This window comes from Homo sapiens, chromosome 12 (genome assembly GCF_000001405.40).
Source record: "Homo sapiens chromosome 12, GRCh38.p14 Primary Assembly".
NCBI classification, from domain to species: Eukaryota; Metazoa; Chordata; class Mammalia; order Primates; family Hominidae; genus Homo; species Homo sapiens.
In genome coordinates, this window is record NC_000012.12 from 10973235 (window position 1) to 10994025 (window position 20791).

Consider the following 20791-nt stretch of genomic DNA (forward strand, 5'->3'; position numbering starts at 1 on the left):
AGACTTCTCTACATGTGATATTTGAATATATTTTTTTCTTTTTAATTTATTTTTGATTACTTAATGGCTTAAGATTAATAGATGCTAAAATAAGACTCCAACCTTGGATTGTATTTCTTTTCAGTTTTGATAATATAATTGTTTCTAAGAAATGATCTTCAAGTCTGATGGCCAGGACAGAAACCCAGATACTCTGTTTCATATAGATATGAACTTAGACTATATTTTACAACTACTATCAGCCTTAGGATAGCCATCTGTAAAACGCACACAATAACAATACCCTCCTTGAGTAGGCTTTATGAGAAGTTAGTACACTACTTGTATAACTGCTTGCAATTTCACCTGTCTGATACAGGCAGAAACCAAGTGTTGCTAGGTTTTCATTTGATCCTGTGTTACTTGATATGTAGAAGTTACCTGTGAAAACTTCCACTCTTGAGTAGATACAGCAGGTTCCAGCAGGCAAAATATTCTTCTGCAGCAGCTAGGATAAGATAAATAAAAGGCCAAAATTATATTTTCAATTCATCGGAGAGCTGTGCAAACAAGGAGGGCCAGCTAAACTAAAATCCAGCACAAGGAGAGTCTTTATAGGTGAAGAGTCAACTTATATATTTAATGCAATCTCTATCAAATTCTGGCGGGCTTTTTTGGTAGACCATAAAAAACTACTCCTAAAATGTATCTGGAAATGCCAAGTGACAAGAGCACCTAGAGAAATAATTTAAAAAGAACAAAGTGGGGGGATTACAGTTTCTCATTTCAAAGTTTGCTAAAAGCTGGACTAATCATCAGGACACTGGCATTTTTAATACTATAGACAAGAATAATGAAACACAATTAAGAGTCCACAAATTAGTAACAACATTTATTATCAGCTAATTTCAAAAACCATACCATTTCAATTAAATAAGAATCATTTTTATCAATAAATGATGCTAGACAAAATGAATATTCTCATGCATAAAGATGAATTTAGGCTACTGCCAATGTCCATATAGAGGCTAGCAGCCTTGGATCCACCTGCACCCCACCCCAGTCTACGAGTGTGTACTCTGCCACACTACTGATGCTGCTGGCATGTGTGAACAAGGATGAGCCACAATGCCACTGCCCAACAAAGTGCTTAGGCTGGCACCATCCTTCAGAGTATCGTAACCAGCAATCCAGGAACACAATAGCCCTTCCAGCATAGCAGATTCCCAACCTTAAGGGGAAAGAGAGCAAAGCCAGGGGCCCAATACTAGCCTCCCAGAGTTACGGCATTCAGCGCGGGAGTGCTGAGCTGATCCTTGGCACCCCCAAAATCTACCATAAACAAAGCTAGTAAATGAAACCCACCTTATTCCGAAATCAAACCCCCAAGGGTATCAAAGAAGATAAAAGAAAAAAAAAGAACCCATCCAAAGTACAGCAATTTCAAAGATTCAAGGAACATCAGCCCACACAGATGAGAAAGAATTAGCACAAGAACTCTGGCAACACGAAAAGCCAGAGAATGTCTTCTTACCTCCAAACAACCACACTAGTTCAGCAGCAATGGTTCTTGACCAGGCTGAAAAGGCAGAAATGACAGAAATAGAATTCAGAATATGGATGGGAATGAAGATCAATGAGATTCAGGAGAAAGTAAAAACCAAATCCAAAGTTTTTAAGGAATGCAATAAAATGATGCAGAAGTTGAAATACAAAACGGTTATTTTAAAAAAGAAAAAAAAGTGTTCTGACAGAACTGAAAAACTAACATCAAGAATTTCAGAACACAATGGAAAGTATTCACGGCATAATTGAGCAAGCTGGGGAAAGAATCAACGAAGGAACCAAACTGATCTGACTGAACTAAAAACTCACAAGAAGACCATCCCCAAGGCACATAGTCATCAGCTTCTCCAAGCTCAAAATAAAAGAAAAAATGCTAAAGTCAACTGGAAGAGAAAGGACAGATCACCTACAAAGGGAACCCCATCAGGCTAACAATGGACCTTTTAGTAGAAGCCCTACAAACAGAAAGAGAATGGGGGCTTACATTCAGCAGTTTTGTTTTTTAAAAAGAATTTTTAATCAAGAATTTCGTATCCACCCAAACTAAGCTTCATAAGTGAAGGGGAAATAAGATCTTTTCAGACAAGCAAATGCTAAGGGATTTCATTACCACCAGCCGTGCCTCACAAGGGGTCCTGAAGGGAGTACTAAACATGGAAAGAAAAGATCTTCACTGACAACACAAATACACTTAAGTACATAGACCAGTAACACTATAAAGTAACCACACAACCCAATCTGCATAATAACCAGCTAACAACATGATGAAACAATCAAATCTTCACATATCAACACTAACCTCGAATGTAAAAAGGCTAATTGCCCCAGTTAAAGAGCAAAGAGTGGCAGGTTGGATAAAAAAGCGTAGCCTAATGGTATGCTGTCCTTAAGAGACCCATCTCACGTGTAATGATACGCATAGGCTCGAAGTAAAGGAATGAAGAAAAATCTACCAAGCAAATAAAAAATAGAAAAAAAAAAACAGAGTTACTATTCTAATTTCATAAAAAAAGTCTTTAAATCAACAAAGATCAAAAAAGACAAGGAAGGGCATTATGTAAAGTAAAAGACTCAATTCACGAGAAGACCTAACTATTCTGAATATATATGCAGCCAACATAGGAACACCCAGATTCATAATGCAAGTTCTTAGAGACCTATGAAAAGACTTAGATAAACACACAACACTAGTGGGAGAATTCAACACCCCACAGACAGCATTAGACAGATGATCAAGACAGAAAACTGACAAAGGTACTCAGAATCTGAACTAAACACTTGACCAAACGAACCTAATAGACCACCACAGAACAGTTCACCCCAAAAGAACAGAACACACATTCTTCTCATCTGTACATGGCATGTAATCTAAAATGAACCACACAATCTAACATAAAACAATTCCTAGCAAATACAAAACAACAAAAAATATACCAGTCACGTTCTTGGACCACAGCCCTATAAAAATGTAAGTAAATACTAAGACAATAGCTTAAAACCATATAATTACATGGAAATTAAACAACCCTCTCCTGAATGAATTTTGGGTACATATGAAATTAAGGCAGAAACCAAGAAATTCTTTGAAACTAATGAGAAAAAAGATACAACATACCAGAATTTCTGGGATATAGCTAAGGCAGTGTTAAGAGGAAAGTTTGTAGCACTAAATGCCCACATTGAAAAGTTAGAAAGATCTCAAATTAACAACCTAACATCCCAACAAAAAGACCTAGACAACCATGAGCAAACCAATGCCAAAGCTAACAGAAGACAAGGAATAACCAACATCAGAGCTGAAGTGAAGGAAATTGCAATGCATAAAATCATACAAAAGATCAGTGGGCTGAGGAGTTTTTTTTTTTTAAATTAAGATAGATAGAACACTAGCCACAATGATAAAGAAAAAAGAGAGAATATACAAATGAACACTTTCAGAAATGACAAAGGGGACATTACCACTGACCCCACTGAAATGCAAACAACCTTCACAAACTACTATCAACACCTCTATGCATACAAGCTAGAAAACCTAGAAGAAATGCATAAATTCCCGGGCATATACAACCTCCAAGACTGAACTAAGAAGAAATTGCATCCCTAAATAAACCGATGATGAGTTCCAAAATTGAATCAGTAATAAGAAGCCTGCCAACCAAAAAAAGCCCAGGACCAGACAGATTCACAGCTGAATTCTATCAAATGTATAACAAAGCACTGGTATGATTTATACAGAACCTATTCTAAGAAACTGAGGAAAAGGGACTCCTCCATAACTCATTCTATAAAGCCAGCAGCACCCTAATACCTAAACTTTTCAGAGACACAACAAAAAATAGAAAACTTCAGACCAATATCCTTAATAAACACAGATGAAAAAGTACTCAAAAAATACTAGCAAACTGAATCCAGCAGCACATCAAAAAGCTAATCCACCATAATCAAGTAGGCTTTATCACTAACATACAAGGTTGTTTCAGCATATGCAGATCAATAAGTGTGCTTCATCACATAAGCAGAACTAATTAACGAAAATCGCATTATCATCTCGATAGATGCAGAAAAGGCTTTCAATAAATTCAACATCTCTTCATATTAAAAACTCTCAACAAACTAGGAATTGAAGGTATATACTTCACAATAATAAGCACCACCTATGACAAACAAAGCCACATCATACCGAATGAGCAAAACTGGAAGTATTCCCCTGGAAGATAGGAACAAGACAAGGATATCTTCCCTCACCACTCTTAATCAATTACTGGAAGTCCTGGCCAAAGCAATCAGGCAACAGAAAGAAATAAAAGTCATCTAAGTAGGAAGAGAAGAAGTCAAACTATCCCTGTTTGCAGACAATGTAATCCTATACCTAGAAATCCCAACAGTATTTGCCCAAAATCTCCTTGATCTTACAAACAAACTCAGCAAATTCTCAGGATACAAAAATCAATGTACAAAAATTAGTAACATTCCTATATATCAACAACATCCAAACAGAGACAAATAAAGAAAGCAATCCCTTTCACAATAGCAGCAAAGGAATACAACATATAGAGGAATACAGCTGACCAGGGAGGTGAAATATCGCTACAAAGAGTATTACAAAACATTGCTCACAGAAATCAAATATGACACAGACAAGTGGAAAAAGATTCCGAGCTCATGGATAGAAAGAATCAATACTGCTAAAATGCCCATGCTGCCTAAAGCAATTTACAGATTCAGTGCTATTTCTGACAAACTACCAGTGACATTCTTCACCAAAGTAGAAAAAAACTATTTTAAAGTTCATATGGAATAAAAAAAAAAAAAAGAAAGAGCCCAAATAGCCATGGCAATCCCAAGGAAAAAGAACAAGCTGGAGGCACATTACCTAACTTTGAACCACACTGCAAGGCAACAGTAACCAAAGCAGCATGGCAATGGTACAAAAACAGGCACATAGACCAAGGAAATGGAATAGAGAGCCCAGAAATAATGCCACCCACCTACAGCCATCTGATCTTCAACAAAGTTAAGAAAAACAAGCAATGGGGACAGACCCCCTATTCAACAAATAATGCTGAGATAACTGGCTAGTCACATGCAGAAGATTCAAACTGGATACTTTCCTAATACATATACAAAAATCAAAGCAAGCTGGATTAAATACTAAAATGTAAAACCTAAAACTGTAAAAAGAAAAATAACACCTGAAAAATAACCTAGGAAATACCTTTCTGGACATAGGACCTGGCAAAGAGTTCATGACAAAGATGCCAAAAGCAATTGCAACAAAAACAGAAATTGATAAATGAAACTTAATTAAACTAAAGAGTTTCTGCACAAGAAAAGAAATTATCAACAGAGTAAACAGACAACCTGCAGAATGGGAGAAAATATTTTGCTAACTATGCATCTGACAAAGTCCTATTCAGAATCTATAAGGAACTTGATTTTGCGAGCAAAAAACAAACACCTCCATTTAAAAATGAATAAAAGGCATAGACAATTTTCAAGTGAAGACATACACACAGCCAACAAGCATATGAAAAAATGCTCAATATGAATGAATCATTAAAGAAATGCAAATCAAAACCACAACGAGATAACCTCTCACACCCCTCAGAATGCCTATTACAAAACAAACAAACAAACAAACAAACAAACAAAAACAGACTCTGTCAAGGTTGTGATGAAAGGGAATGCTTTTATACTGCTGGTGGGAATGTAAAACAGAAACAGCAAAGCAAGTACCACATGTTCTCACTTACAAGTGGGAGCTAAACATTAAATACATATGGACACAAAGAAGGGAGCTACAGACACCAGGGCCCACTTGAAGACGGAGGGCAGGAGGGGGGTGAGGATCAAAAAGTTACCTATCAGGTACTCTGCTTATCACCCCAGTGATGAAATAATCTATACAGCAAGTTCCCATGCCATGCAATTTACTTATATAACAAACCTGCACATATACCTCTGAACCTAAAATAAAATCTAAAAAAAATTTAAAACTGCAGAGAGAAGTGAGATTTCTCTTTAAATAAGGCAGGATTGATTTAGTGATTTAGTGATATTTGAGGAGTGGTAGTGTTTAGTGTTGATATCTGAGAAAGAGCATTCCAAGAAGAAAGGACACAAGTATGAAGTCCCTGAGGCAATGCTTGGCATATTCAAGAAGTGACACAAAGGCCAATGTTGCTAGCATGGGATGAGCCAGGTGTGTTTTAGGACAGACAGGCAGACAAAAACAGATCATTCAAATGATTATAGGACTTCGTAAGGATTTTGGCCTTACTCTGAATGAGTTGAGAAGCCACTGAAAAATCTGGAGCAGAAGAACAGCATGATCAAATTTGCACTTTTGCAGGCTCTCTCTGGCTGCTACATTGAGAATACATCAGGGGAATGTGCAGAACTAGAAAAAATTATTAGGAGTTGATAGCAATTATCTTGGCAAGAAATGCAGAAATTTAGATGAGTATGGCAGAAGTGACGACAAGGGATTGGATTCTGTATGTTTTTGAAGACAGAGTCTATAAAATTTGCTGAGATGAGATGTGAAGGAGAGAAAACGTGGACTCTATGTTTTTTGTCTAAATATCTGAAAGTCTGAAGTCTTCATTAACAAAAGGAAAGACTGTAGGAGAAACAGATTTGGGGATGGAAGGAAAGATGAGTAATTTGGTTTAGACAACTTAGTTCTAAGTTCTTGTCAGACATCCAAATGAAGATGTCAAATATGCTATTAGAGAAAGGATTCTGGAGACCAGGGTTGGGTTCTGAGCTGAAGGATTAAATGTTCACATCATCAGCACACAGAAAGTAAGGCCATGACCAGATGAACTTACCTAAAAAGTAAGAGCCAAAAGAGAAAGAAAAAACATAAATTTAGACCCTTATTTTATACCACACACAAAAATTAACTCATAATTCATTGATCATGGAGCAAAAACTTAAGAACTATGATTACTGCGATACTGAGACACTAACTGTACCAAATGCAAGAAATAAAAAATGGGTTAATCAATCATAATTCTATCTATGTATTTCTTTACTTAGATCATTATGTCCATAATGATTATCCCCTGCCTATCAATCTATCAATATTTACATTGCTATTTTAAATAAAACTAAATTAGATACTGAGTCACTATCACTCTGAATAGGCAGAAACTCAAGTGAAAACATTATTGATCCTCCCACATTCTCCCTAGATTTTTGGTCATGTTACTTTTAAATGTAACTGACATTTGAAGAAAAAAGCTTTATATAATGAGAAATATGTAAATAGATGTACATAAATAAATAATATATATAAATACATATGAATAATCAGCCTTATTCCTCTCTATTGAACCATTTGGCTACATTATCAGTAAGGAGACTCCATGAGATCACCAACAAAACAAGCCCGATTGATTAAAGGTTGAAGAACTGAGACCTTGGGCAGTGTGATATTTTCAATTTAGAGACAAGAGAGAACTAGCAAAGGAGACTGAGAAGTGGTGCCCAGTAAATAAGGAAAAAATCAGGAGAGGGCAGCATCCTGGAATGCAAATAAACTATATTCAGTACTGCTCACAGAGCATGCAACATGAAGACCGACCATTGGCAACACAGACTCCCTGGTGATCTTCCAAATGTCAGATTCAATGAAGTGGTGACAACAGCCTTATTGAAATGGGTTGATAGGCCAATAGTTGAAGAGGCTTCATACTTTGCTAAATAATTATAAACCAAGAGGGGGAAAGAGTTGAAAAAGCTGATTCCTGAGGTCAGCCTTTAACATTGAAAATGGAAAACCCTCAGCCAGTTCTCAGGGCTGAGCCAATTCAGAGAAGCAGAATTCAATGATTGAAGGGAATCTTAAGTCCTCTTGATGATGGACATTGAAAATGCACTGCAAGAACACTCAGGATGTATCATATGTTGCTTTCTCAAAGACCTGTAGCTATTCCCCAGAAAACAGTCCTCAGAGAACAGAACACACGTCCATATTATCTGAGACTTTTAAGTTTGGAGCCTGAACTAACACTAATATCTGGGTACCCCAAAAGACACAGTGGTCCATGGGATACGGTGGCAAATTTTTACTTCTGGATTTTTTTTTTTTTTTTTTTTTTTTTTGAGGTGGAGACTCGCTCTGTCGCCCAGGCTGGAGTTCAGTGGCATGATCTCAGCTCACTGCAACCTCTGCCTCCCGGGTTCAAGTGATTCTCATGCCTCAGCCTCCCAAGTGGCTTGGATTACAGGTGCAACACCACCACACCTGGCTAATTTTTGTATTTTTAGTAGAGGTGGGGTTTCACCATGTTGGCCAGGCTGATCTCGAACTCCTGACCTCAAGTGATCCAACCACTCAGCCACCCAAAGTGCTGGGATTACAGGCATGAGCCACCGCACCAGGCCCTTTTTGGGCTTTTGTTTGTTGTTTTTGTTTGTTTCTTTTTAGAGACAAGATCTTGCTTGATTGCCCAGGCTGGAGTGCAATGACACCATCATAGCTCACTGCAAACTCGAATTCCTGGGCTAAAGCAATCCTCCTGCCTGAGTCTTCTGGGTAGCTGTAACTACAGGCACACACTACCACAAACAACTAATTTTTTTTTTTTTTTTTACAGATTCTTACTATGTTGCCAAGGCTGATCTGAAACTCTCAGCCTAAAGTGATCCTCCCACTTCGGCCTCCTAAATTATTAGGATTACAGGTATGAGCTGCCTCAATAGGACTGGAGTATGAGTTTTTGAAGATCAGATGGTACATAGAGCTTTGGCCCATGTCCAACCCAAAGGGGTTCTAATGAGTTCATCGTAGTTACCCCTTCCTGAAAGTGTAATTGAAGTTGACAGGTTCAACAGCTGTCAGGACTCTTACATTTCTTCCTGACCTGTATACCAAGGGACATTATTGTAAGCAGGACCAAGGGGAGGCTTCTGAAATTCTACTTTCCTGGCAATAAAATGAATAAAACATAATAACTGCATTCTCCAGGAAACAGAATTGGTCGCTGCCACAACAAAAAACTCAAAAGTTCCAGGGGGCGGTCGTCCATTTTATATCTTTATTCAGTTAACCTAACTGGCCTCTGTCAAAACCAGATGGATTATAGGATGAATGCACATTAGCATAAACTTAAGTCACACTTGCACATTCGCTCTAGGATGTGGTATCTTCACTGAGCAGAATGTGGTTTCCAGCACTTTGTATGCGGCTTTTGATTTAGCTAATGCTTTTTAATCTACACACATTGTGGAGGAAAATCAAAACAATTTGCTTTGGTGTGGTAAAAACAAGAACACTGCTTCACTGTTTTCTGTCAGGGCTGTCACTTCTGCTTTCAGTTTAATTGACATTTTGCAAAACATCATGTTAATTCAATATATTAATAATATTACATAAAGTGGTACCCATAAGCAGGAAGTGGCAAGTTCCTTAAGTATAGTAAAATATTATAACATTGAACAGAAGTAAAATACTGGAAGAAGAGACATAAACTTCAGCAGATTCAAAGACCTATAACATAGATGAAGTTTATAGGGGTCCAATGCTTCTGGTCCTTTTGTCAAAACATCCTTTTTACAGTAAATGGCATGTTGCCCTATATATATATACTTCCTATCACTAAAAGGGAAATACAGTTTTATGGGGGCTTATTGGGGTTTTGAATTCAACATATACCACATTTAAGGATATTTCTCTGACTCACTAAAGGAGTTTGCAAGGGCTGCTTGTCTCAAGTCAAACCCGAAACAAAAACGGGCTCTATAGCAGATATAGAGTCTGGCCCAAGTTGCTTGGCCATTGTGCCAGATGATGTAACAGAATTCAAAGTTGCTACAGGCATGCATAGTGGGCATTATAGGACTCTGTGCATGCCTCTCACAAGCCCATAGGAGTGGGGAGAGCAAACTCCTAGCGAATTAGTGGAAGACTATTCCTTCTCCAGCAGAGGACTACCTTCTGTCTGAAAAACAAAACAGCAAGTGCAGAAGATTAATCCAAGCATAAAGCCCCTCTAAGCATAAGCACTTCTAAGCACAAGACCCTGTGCAACTGTGAAGTCATATGCCTATAAAGCCAGCCATGATTGGAGGGCATGAGCCAATCTGAGTTGCACAAGGAGTGGACAGTATTGCCCACAAACATATCCTTCCTCAGATTATCTTGACTGTCTTCTCTTTTCTTGGTCAGCACCTTGCTTGATCCAGATCATCCTTCCATTTGGGACTTCAATGGAACACCACACTGGGGGCATGAGGTTTGGCTTTCATAACTACCACCAAGGGACTGGATGATGGAACGCAGAACAGCAGAGATGGTAGTTCTGCCTCAGGGAAACCCTGGCCAATGGGAAATAGAAGACAGAAGACAGCTGAGCAGATACATTTTCTCTTCTCTTTCTCTTCCGTGGACTAATGCCGGCTGTGGTTTCCCCTTGCAGCCCTTCTGGAAAAGTACTGGGAGTCAAGTCCACGCATCTGATGACCACCATGCTGTCTCTCTCATCTCATTGTGAAGTGGTCATCAGCAGAGTCATATCATACATCACAAGACATGGTTTCACATTTGCTTTGCCTCAATTTCCACATGTCCTGGCCATTGCTGCCCTGGACTTATCTTCCAAATAAATGTTATCACTTTAACATCAGACATTGGCTCTAGTTCTAGACACCCAAGGCTAAGATACTCGTTTAGTGTTATAATTGTTATTTATGCATTTTTCTGTGGGTTTTTAATATGGCAATTTAAATGTTCATTTAGAAAGGGTTTTAAAATATTCTATAAAAGTCACGTTTTAGTAAGGTAGTTGGTAACTAACTCAGTTTTTTTTAATGAAATGCCATTTTTGTTTATACACTAACCAGCTGGAAATATCACAATACAAATATATCATTCACAACTGAAAAATTGTATGCAAAGATACCAAAATCTTTTATATTGATGTGCTTTTTAAAATGTATCACAATAGGTACAAGCTGATTTTGATGTTCCACATTATCTTCCCATCACACATCGAATATGGCTTCATCAGGGCTATCTTAGAGTGGTATTTCCCCTACAATTGTATAATGGCCATACTTCTGCTCTGAGAAATACTTCTTCTTAGATAATTCTGTAACCTCAAGTTGAAACCAGAAAATAAAAATTTATGCAACTTTGGATTTTGTGATGAAGTTTCATTTTCATTGGTTTGCCACTCCCATATAGTTAGTTTACTGCTTTATTCACCAATTTACTTGTTCATCAAAATATTCTTAAATACCTATTCTATGTGTTGTCTTTTAGGCCCTGGGAGTCAACAGTAAGCAAGATCTATATGATCTCTGCTTTTATGGTGCTTACATTGTACCAGGAAAGATATATGATAAACAAACAAATAACTAAATCAGATGTAGAGATGATTTGTCCCAAGGTTTAGATAATATTGTTAAAATTTCATAACTCCAAGAATTAATACAGTTTATAGAATTTAATTGTTTAATGATGTTATACATTTTCTTCCTATAATAGAACTTGCTATTACTGAATATATCAACACACTGTCTCATTGTATTATTTGCAACTAGATTATAATACAACATATATTTTAGATGTTTTCTATCATTAATACATAGATTTCATAGATGCCATTTTAACATTTGCAAAAAGTTTAATTCAAATGATTTTTATAATTTCTATACTATTTTTACATAGAGTATTTTTCTAAGGTAGGGAAGACTCAAGTTCTTTTATGTGAAGTTTAAAAAGAATTTCAAGTATGGAAGATAGAGGAGATCATTGGCAATTCAGGGACTCTGAGGTGGTTTAGAAAAAAAAACCTGAAATACTTGACATCAGATCTCAACTTCAAAAAAGGTTTTCTTTAACTCAAAAACTGGAAGAAATGACTTTTCTAACTGCATGTTGAGACTTATGACAACATAAGTCATCACGGTGTTTCTTTCTTCATCCTTATTATAGAAATGACTTTTTTCTCAAATGTTCACATATTTGTATTAAGTCTATTATTCCTCAGTACTGTTTATGGTAGACATATACAAAATGTGTTCTAAATATATTTGTCATCCTTGAATATTATTCTGTGCATCTTTTTCTGAAAATAATTATGCTGGCTATAAACTAAACATAAAATTAGAATTCATGATGAAATAAAAACTACCCCAAAGATGAAACCTCATTATTGATTTAGAATTGAGTGTGCTTACTATCAAAAAATTTAGATGTTTAAGCACACTGTGGTACATATGTGTGGTAAAAATCAGTGGAAAAGAGCAAAGATTTTGAGATAATGTGTCACTTCTTAACAATTATAAGTAAAGATCACACAGTTTTCAAGTGAAACATGATAATATGAAATGTATATGTGAAATATACATGGGTTCATGATTCTGAAAAACTTCTTACCATATTTTCTATAATTTGGCATCTTGTGAAAATATGATTAACATTATGTTATTGTCAATGTCTTTTAAGTCTTTCATATACAGATGCACACACATAGATACACTTTTAGACTAACTTTAGGTAAAAGACTTTTCTAGGTATGCTTTCAGAAAATACTCAAAAACATACACTACAGAAAAAACAGTAAAAAGTATAAAATGTTCCAGACACTATCAGTTTGTTTTCTCCTAGAATACACACACAATGTCCCACTTGTGAATCTAGAGAGTTGAGAGTTTCAGGTCTTTTACTCAGCACCTAATCTGACACAAAATCAAAAGAAAGGTGTGTTTTAGCTTCTTGGTTCTCCAAATTAGGATGAATGAGTCGAATGCAAGATATATGTTTCCAACAGCCTTGCTAACCATGACAACCGGGTCATTCCGCAGCCTCCTAGGACTCCAAACCGAAACGATTAGGAATAGAAAGAAAATGGCACATAACAAGAGGAAGGAGATCAGAGTTTGCAAAGCTTTTATGTGGACCTTGGTGCTGAGATCTTGCGATCCTTCTCCATGGAGCTGCATCTTCTTGAGATGTTTACACAGAGAACAGATTAGCATCAGAAAAGATATCAGGGACAGAGTAAAGGGTATGAAGCTCCATAGGGTAGTTACAGTCAAATATGAAAGATGTACTGTATTCCTCAATTTCATCTTCCCAGTCATGTTTCCTTCATATTCTTCTGCCCACATACTCTCATCCATGTTTGCCACAAGAAGATGACAAACCAAAAATATCAAAGTCCCCAACAGTATCACCAGAATGACACTCCTAACTCTCCTCTTTAAATGAAGAAAAAGAAGGTTGGAGAAATTGGCAATCTTGAGCAAATAAAATATGCTGAGGTTAGCAGCAAGCCACATGCTGAAATGGTTGGTTACAACCCAGGCATTATAAGAAGTAATTCTTAATTCTACACTATAAAAAGCTGGATTCAACACAGTTAAATACCAATTTAATAATAATGCCCAGAGCAAACCAATTCTGGAGACCGCCAGAGCAGTGAGAATTTGGTCAGCTGAGGAGATCTTTTTTCTCTTCACCCAGTCAATGAAATTTACCAGTGCTATGAAGCCATTGGCAAAGTTTCCGAGAACAAATAAAACCATTATTAGAATTGAAAAAAAAATGTATAGAAAAGTTATCATATCTGAGCAGAAAAAAAGAAAGAAAATGCAAGCCTAATATCACTGGTTGTGATTTCTTTAATACTCTGACCTTAAATTTTATGTGCATCTGATTTCTGAATGTGCAGTAACATTCTTTTTACTTTTAAACACTGTGACCAGTGTCAAACAAGAAAGTACCAGCTTATGCTAATGGATGAGTTTGATGTCATCTTTACGGAAAACATTCTTATTTTCAAAACAGCTCAAATTAACTCATTCATTCAATGTCCGTTCTTGTGATGGGCTTGAATTATTCATAATGAAGTTGAAGTGAAACCTAAATTTTCATTTACCAGCATGCAAATAAAGACATATTCTCTTTCAATATTTTGCAATGTTTTCCTTGTTTAACCGATACGTAATTTGTGTTCAGCAACTTCAGCTGTTAGATAGGGAAATTTTACCCCCGAGTCCATCGTTCATACAGTAAATGTCTAAGTTCTTTAAAAGACCTTAGTCATAACTAGGATCACCACCATAACGGATTTACTATTTATGCTACATTTAAACAGACAGAATCCAAACTTTTAAATCAAAATCATCCAAGGTTTTCTTGGGAACCATAAGAAGACCAAAACACCTTAAAATCTGGTTGCTGCTAACCCAATACTTTTGTGTGAATTTATTGTTACCATGTTCATAAATAGATACAAACACAGAAAGAGAGAGAGAGAGAGAGAGAGAGACTGTGACACCCCTAAGAGATGGAAGGAATTATTTTCTTATACTTTCCAAAATGGGAAGTAAGTCTCCTGGAGGCCATCCACGTGAAATTAGTCCTATTTTCCCAGTGAAAACTGAGGGTTTTCAGACCCCCCCCAAAAAAATGTATCAAACATCAAACATATCTTTCATGCTTAAGCATTTGGTAAACTTACTCTCAAGTCTATTTAATGTTTAAGTATTTATTATTTAATTAAAATGTTCAACAATTTTGTAAATATTCCTGAGTACCACACCCTATGACACATAATTTTGCAGTATCCTCCCACCATAAGCAGGTTGATTATCTGTCCCCTGGACTCGGAGCTCACTCACACAACTTTCTTTGATGAACAGAAAATTGGTAGATTTCACACCGAGGTTTGAGATGGCTTCCATATTGGGGTTTCTTGCTCTTTTCCATTGATCATGAGATTATCACCTGGCTAGTACACTGTTTTCAGAATGAGAATGAAAACTAATGGAGTCAGTTTGCCTGCACTTGATCCATCCTAAATTGGCCAAAGTCTAACTAGCTCCAAGATGCAGAACTTGGCCCATCTCAAGTCACCAGAGCTATCCACCAAACCCAGCTTAGAAAACCTGAATCCAAAGATATATGAGATAAAAATATCTAACGTAGTTTTGGAGGGTTTCTCTAGTAGAAAAACCTAACTGGTACAGCTACTATGCTACACCAAGAGTGTGGGGAAATATATTTGCCCCTGTTTTGTCAGGAATTCAGGAGCCAAAAGAAAAATAGATGGGGAGTGGCAAAGTTTTGTCATGTGAGGTAGATAATTAAAGGTAATAAAAAAATGTTTGAAAGGATTTGTGTGCTGCAGGTAGCATCATCTGAAATTTCCATATGTTGCAGCTAAAATAAAGTTCCTACTTCAACTCTCTAAGAGTTGTATAAAAATGTGTATAAATGGTGAATTTTTTGCAAGGTATACAATGAGCAGAATAATTAATATTCTTTATGGAGCATTTTTCCAGTTAATAATTTTTAAATACAATTATAATGCACACTTAGAAATGGGTGAAAACTAAGATGGTAAACATAGCAATGTGTCATAAACACTCATGCAACCATCAAGCAGGGCAAAACATGTCACATTGCAAATAGCCTAGGTCCACCTCCATGCCACTCTCCAAGCCCCTACACCTTTCTTCACATACCCTGAGGAGAGCAATAGCCATAATTTAGAATGATCATTTCCTTGATTTTCTTTTTTTTTGAGACAGAGTCTCGCTCTATCACCCAGGCAGGAGTGCAGTGGCGCGATCTCAGCTCACTGCAACCTCCACCTCCCGGGTTCAAGCAATTCTCCTCCCTCAGCCTTCCAAGTAGCTGGGACTACAGGCGCATGCCACCACACCCAGCTAACTTTTTGTATTTTTAGTACAGACAGGGTTTTGCCATGTTGGCCAGGTTGGTCTTGAACTCCTGACCTCAGGTGATCCACCCGCCTCGGCCTCCCAAAGTGCTGGGATTACAGGCGTGAGCCACCGCGCCTGGCCTTGATTTTCTTTATACATTAACAACTAGGTATGCAACCCTAAACTCTATGATACGGTTTTACCTACTTTAAACCTTTAAGCCATATGTAGGTGTAGTCCTGTATGTTCCTGTTCATGGCTTCTTGGACTCACCTTTACGTTTCTGAAATTTACTCACATACTTGCATCTTTATGTGATTCATTTCTTTTCACTTCTCTATATTATTCCATTGTATGAATGTGTTGTAATGATTCATTCATCTTTAGTTGATACATATTTGGGGGGTTTCTTTTTTGAAGAGTTATGAATAATTCTAGTATGACCATTCTTTCATATATCATTTGATTCATTTCCTTTGGATATATACATAGAAAGATAATTACAGGGTCATCAAATATAGCTTTCAAATTCTCTTCACAGACATAGAAAATTCCGAATTTAAATTAACTAAATTCACTTTTTGATACCTTTACTTACAGACTATATATGGCTATTTCTATATATCTTATTAAATACTTAACCCAAAAAGACACCACCACTTTATACAGTCAAAATTTATTTAGACTTATGCACATATTTACCACTTCTATTATTTATTATTCCTTCATGCATGTTCAGCTTTATATTTTTAGTAATTTTCCTTTTATCTAAAAAATATTCTTTTGAATTTCTATTTGTTAAAGTCCGCTATGGTTTTGAAACACACTGAAGACATGATTCCATTGAATTCTAGCTTCAATTTTGTCTGTTGAAAATAAGATTGTCATTTAGACAGTTGTTTCTTTTTACATAAAGTTTTTCCTCTACCTACTTTTCAGATTTTCGATTGGTCTTTGATATCCTGTGGCATTTGTTTTTAATTGGTTTTAGTTATCTCATCTAAATTTTAATGGCTTCTGAAAATATACGGATGTCTCAGAATAGCCAAAGTTATCCTGAGCAAAAAGAACAAAACTGGAGGAATCACATCACCTGACTTCAAAGTATATTACAGAGCTATAGTAACCAAAACAGCATGGTACTGGCATAAAAACAGACACATAGAGCAGCGAAATAGAATAGAGAATGTGGAAACAAATCCACACCTATAGAGAACTCATGACAAAGGTGCCAAGAACATACTCTGGGGAAAGGACAGTCTCTTCACTAAATGGTGCTGGGAAAATTGGATATCCATTTGCAGAAAAATGAAACTAGATGCCTATTTATCACCATATACAAAGATCAAATCAAGGAGGCCTCAATGATTCAGTGATGTTTGATGAGTGATAGTGTTTAGTGTTGATTTCTGAGAAAGAGCATTCCGAGAAGAAGGGACACAAGTACGAAGTCCCTGAGGCAATTCTTGGTACATTCAAGAAATTACACAAAGTCCAGTGTTGCTAGCATGGGATAGCCAGGCATTTTAGGACAGACAGGCAGACAAAATCCGATCATTCAAATGATTATAGGACTTTGTAAGGATTTTGGCCTTACTCTAATGAGATGAGAAGCCACTGAAAAATCTAAAGCTGAAGAATGGCATGATCAAATTTGCATCTTCATAGGCTCTCTTTGGCTGCTATCTTGAGAGTACATCAGGAGAAAATGATGTGCAGAACTAGAAAGAATAATTAGGAGTTGATGGCAATTATCTTGGCTAGGTATGGCAGCAGTTTAGATGAGTATGGCAAAAGTGATGACAAGGGATTGGATTCTGTATGTTTTTGAGGGTAGAACCAACAAGAGGGTAGAACCAACAAAATTTGCTGATGCCTTAGAGATGAGTTCTGAAAGAGAGAAAATGTTAACTCCGTGTTTTTGGTCTAAGCATCTGAAAGACTGAAGTGGTCATTAACAGAAGAGGGAAAGGCTATAGAAGAAACAACGCTGGAGACTAGAGGGAAGATCACTATTTTGATTTGGACATGTTAGTTCAAGTTCTTGTTACGACATCCAAATGAAGATGTCAAATGACTTCTTAGAGAAAGGATTCTAGAGACCAGGATTGACTTCTGAGCTGAAGAATTAAATATTGGCATCAACAGCACACAGAAAGTAACTAAGGTTATGACTAGATGAACTTACCTAAGAAGTGGGAGTAAAAACAGAATGATAAAAACATGAGTGTAGACCATTATTTCATACCATATATAAAAATTAACTCATAATTAATTGATCATAGAGAAAAATATAAAAACAGATTACTGAGATACTAAGACATTAACTGTACCAAGTACAATAAGTCAAAATGGGTTAATCAATCATTATTCTATCTGTATATTTCCTTACTTATATCATTTTTTTCTATAATGATAATCCCCTGCCTATCAATCTACATGGCTATTTTAAATAAAACTTAATTAGCTATCTGGTCACCATCACTCTGATTTAGCAGAAATTCAAGTAAAAACATTATTGATGCTCCGACCTTCTCCATAGATTTTTAGTATTGTGACTTTTAAATGTAACTTTGACATTTGAAAAAAAGGGTTACATAATTTGATATATGTAACTATATGTATATAAATAAATAACATATATGAATAATCAGCCTTATTCCTCTCTATTGAACCATGTGGCTACATTATCTGTAAGGAGACTGCATGAGATCACCAAAAAAACCAGACATAATTGATTAGAGATTGAAGAATTTAGACCTTGGGCAATCTGATATTTTCAGTTTACAGACAAGAGGAAGAACTAGCAAAGGAGACTAAGAAATTGTGCCAGTGAACAAGGATAAAATCAGGAGAGGGCAGCATCCTGAAATGCAAATAAACCAGGTTCAGTGCTGCTCATAGAGCATGCAACATGAAAACTAACCATTGGCAACACAGACTTATCGGTGATCTTGCAAATGTCAGATTTAATGGAGTGGTGACAGTAACAGCCTCATTTAAATGGGTTGATGGACCGATAGTTGAAGAGGCCTCATACTTTGCTAAATAATTATAAACCAAGAGGGGACAAGAGTTGCAAAAGCTGACTCCTGAGGTCAGCCTTTGACATTGAAAATCAAAAACCCTTAGCCAGTTCTCTGGACTGAGCCAGTTCAGAGAAGCAGAGTTCAATGATTGAAGGAAAGCTTACATGCCCTCGGTAAACAACACTGAAGATTCACCACAAAAATATTCAGGAAATATTCACTTGACCCTTTCTCAAGCACCTGTAGCCATTTCACCTGTAGCCATAACAGTACCCAGAGGAAAGGACATATATCCATACTCTCAGAATTTTAAACATGGGGCCTGAACTAACACTAATAATATTTGAGAACTAAAAAAAGACACTGTGTTTCACAGAATGGAGTGGGAGGCTTTGTTTTCGGTTGTTCGTTTTTTTTTGTTTTTAGAGACAGAGTCTTGTTTGGTTGCCCAGGCTAGAGTGCAGCCCAGGCTGGAGTGAAATGGCACAATCATAGCTTACTGCAGACTCAAATTCCTGGGCTAAACTGATCCCCCTGCCAGAACTTCCTGGGTAGTTGGAACTACAGGCACGCAGTACTACAATCAGTTTATTTTCTTTAACAAACAGGGTCTTGCTGTCTTGCCCAGGCTGATCTGGAACTCCTGGCCTCAAGTGCTCCTCCCACCTCAGCCTCCCAAATTGTTTGGATTACAGGTGTGAGCCACCTCACCAGTCCTGGAGTATGAGTTTTTGAAAGTCAGATGCTGCATAAAGCTTTGGCTCATGTTCAACCTAAGGTGGATGTAATGGGTTTATATTTATTATCTCTTCCAGAATGTTAAATGAAATTAACAGTTTCAACAGCTAGCAGAACTCTCACATTGCTTCCAGACCTGTATATTAAGGGACATTACTGTAAGTAGGACCAAAAAGAGTCCTCGGTAATTCTCCTCTTCTGGCAAGAAAATGAGTAAAACATACTAACCGCATTGTCCAAGGAATAGAATTGGTCACCGACATGACAAAAAACTCAAAAGTTCCAGGAGGTGGTTGTCCATTTTTGATCCCTATTCTGTTAACCTATCTGGCTTCTGCCAAAGCCAGATGGATTATCAGATGAATGCACATTAGCATAAACTTAAATCACACTTGCAGATGCTCTCTAGGATGTGGTACCTTCACTGAGAAAACATGGTTTCTGGTTCTTTGTATGAGGCGTTTGATTTGGTGAATGCTTTTTAATCTACATCGATTGGGAGAGAAAATCAAAATGATTTGTTTTGGTGAGGTAAGAACAAAAGCACTGCTTCACTGTTTTATGTCATGGCTACGTCACTTCTGTTTTCAGTTTAATTGGCATTTTGCAAAACATCATGCTAACTCAATATATTAATAATATTGCATTAACTGTTACCCATAAGCAGGAAGTGATGAGTTTCTCAAATATAGTAAAATACCATAACATTGAACAGAACTAAATACCAGAAGAAGAAAGATGAACAAGAAGATTCAGTGACCTATAACATAGATGATGATTTTAGGGGTCCAGTGCTCCTAGTCCACATGCTGAAACACCCTTTTAAAGTAAACAGCATGTTGCTCTCTATACATCTATTTCCTGTCACTAAAAATGAGACACAATATTTGTTGGGCCTACTGGGATTTGGGAGCCAACGTATTCCACATTTGAGGATACTGCTCTGATTCACTAATGAAGTTGCCAAAGGCTACTGGTCTCAAGTGGAACTAGAACAAAAAATGCCTCTAGCAAATGTAGGCTCTAGTCCAAGCTGCTGTGCTCATTGTGACAGATAATCCAGCAGAATTCAAACCCGCTAGAGGCATGCATGCATAGTGGGCATTATAAGACTCTGTGCATGCTTCTCACAAGCCCACAGGAGAGGGGAGAGCAAACCCCTAGCCAATTAGTGCAAGACCATTCCCTCTTTAGCAGAGGAGTGCCCTCTGTCTCAAAAACAAAACAGCAGGTGCAGAAAATTAACCCATGTATAAAGCCCTTCTAAGCGTGTGCGTCTCTAAGCACAAGAC

General features: G+C 36.9%; 3 protein-coding genes and 1 long non-coding RNA gene across 6 annotated transcripts in view, besides 1 other annotated feature; all 4 read right to left on the reverse strand.

The window, feature by feature from the left end:
• The window catches only part of PRH1-PRR4 (PRH1-PRR4 readthrough), a 325777-nt gene that overhangs the window by 127386 nt on the left and 177600 nt on the right, over positions 1-20791 (reverse strand). The window contains exon 4 of the long non-coding RNA NR_037918.2: positions 421-487. This is a non-coding gene — a long non-coding RNA (PRH1-PRR4 readthrough). The remainder of the gene's footprint in view (positions 1-420; positions 488-20791) is intronic.
• Positions 1-20791, reverse strand: part of PRH1 (proline rich protein HaeIII subfamily 1) — a 290647-nt gene that overhangs the window by 92270 nt on the left and 177586 nt on the right. For all 3 annotated transcript variants that reach the window (NR_133575.2, NM_001291315.2, NM_001291314.2), the window contains exon 3: positions 421-487. Coding sequence is in view for 1 of the 3 variants with exons in the window: in NM_001291315.2 (NP_001278244.1) it covers positions 421-487 (67 nt within the window). In the remaining 2 variants the exon portion in view is untranslated. The remainder of the gene's footprint in view (positions 1-420; positions 488-20791) is intronic.
• PRH1-TAS2R14 (PRH1-TAS2R14 readthrough) overlaps positions 1-20791 on the reverse strand; it is a 234202-nt gene that overhangs the window by 35825 nt on the left and 177586 nt on the right. The window contains exon 4 of the mRNA NM_001316893.2: positions 421-487. Coding sequence (NP_001303822.1) covers positions 421-487 — 67 coding nt within the window. The remainder of the gene's footprint in view (positions 1-420; positions 488-20791) is intronic.
• Positions 1669-2547: an enhancer, noted in NCBI's record as "OCT4-NANOG hESC enhancer chr12:11127502-11128380 (GRCh37/hg19 assembly coordinates)". NCBI's record gives its function as "activates a minimal SCP1, AML or CMV promoter by ChIP-STARR-seq in naive and primed H9 embryonic stem cells {active_cell/tissue: H9 hESC(naive and primed)}" and the evidence as "EXISTENCE:reporter gene assay evidence [ECO:0000049][PMID:30033119]".
• On the reverse strand, positions 12679-13678 carry TAS2R50 (taste 2 receptor member 50). Its single transcript, NM_176890.2, has one exon. It carries the CDS (start codon positions 13624-13626, stop codon positions 12727-12729), a length of 900 nt encoding a protein of 299 aa, NP_795371.2. The 5' UTR covers positions 13627-13678; the 3' UTR covers positions 12679-12726.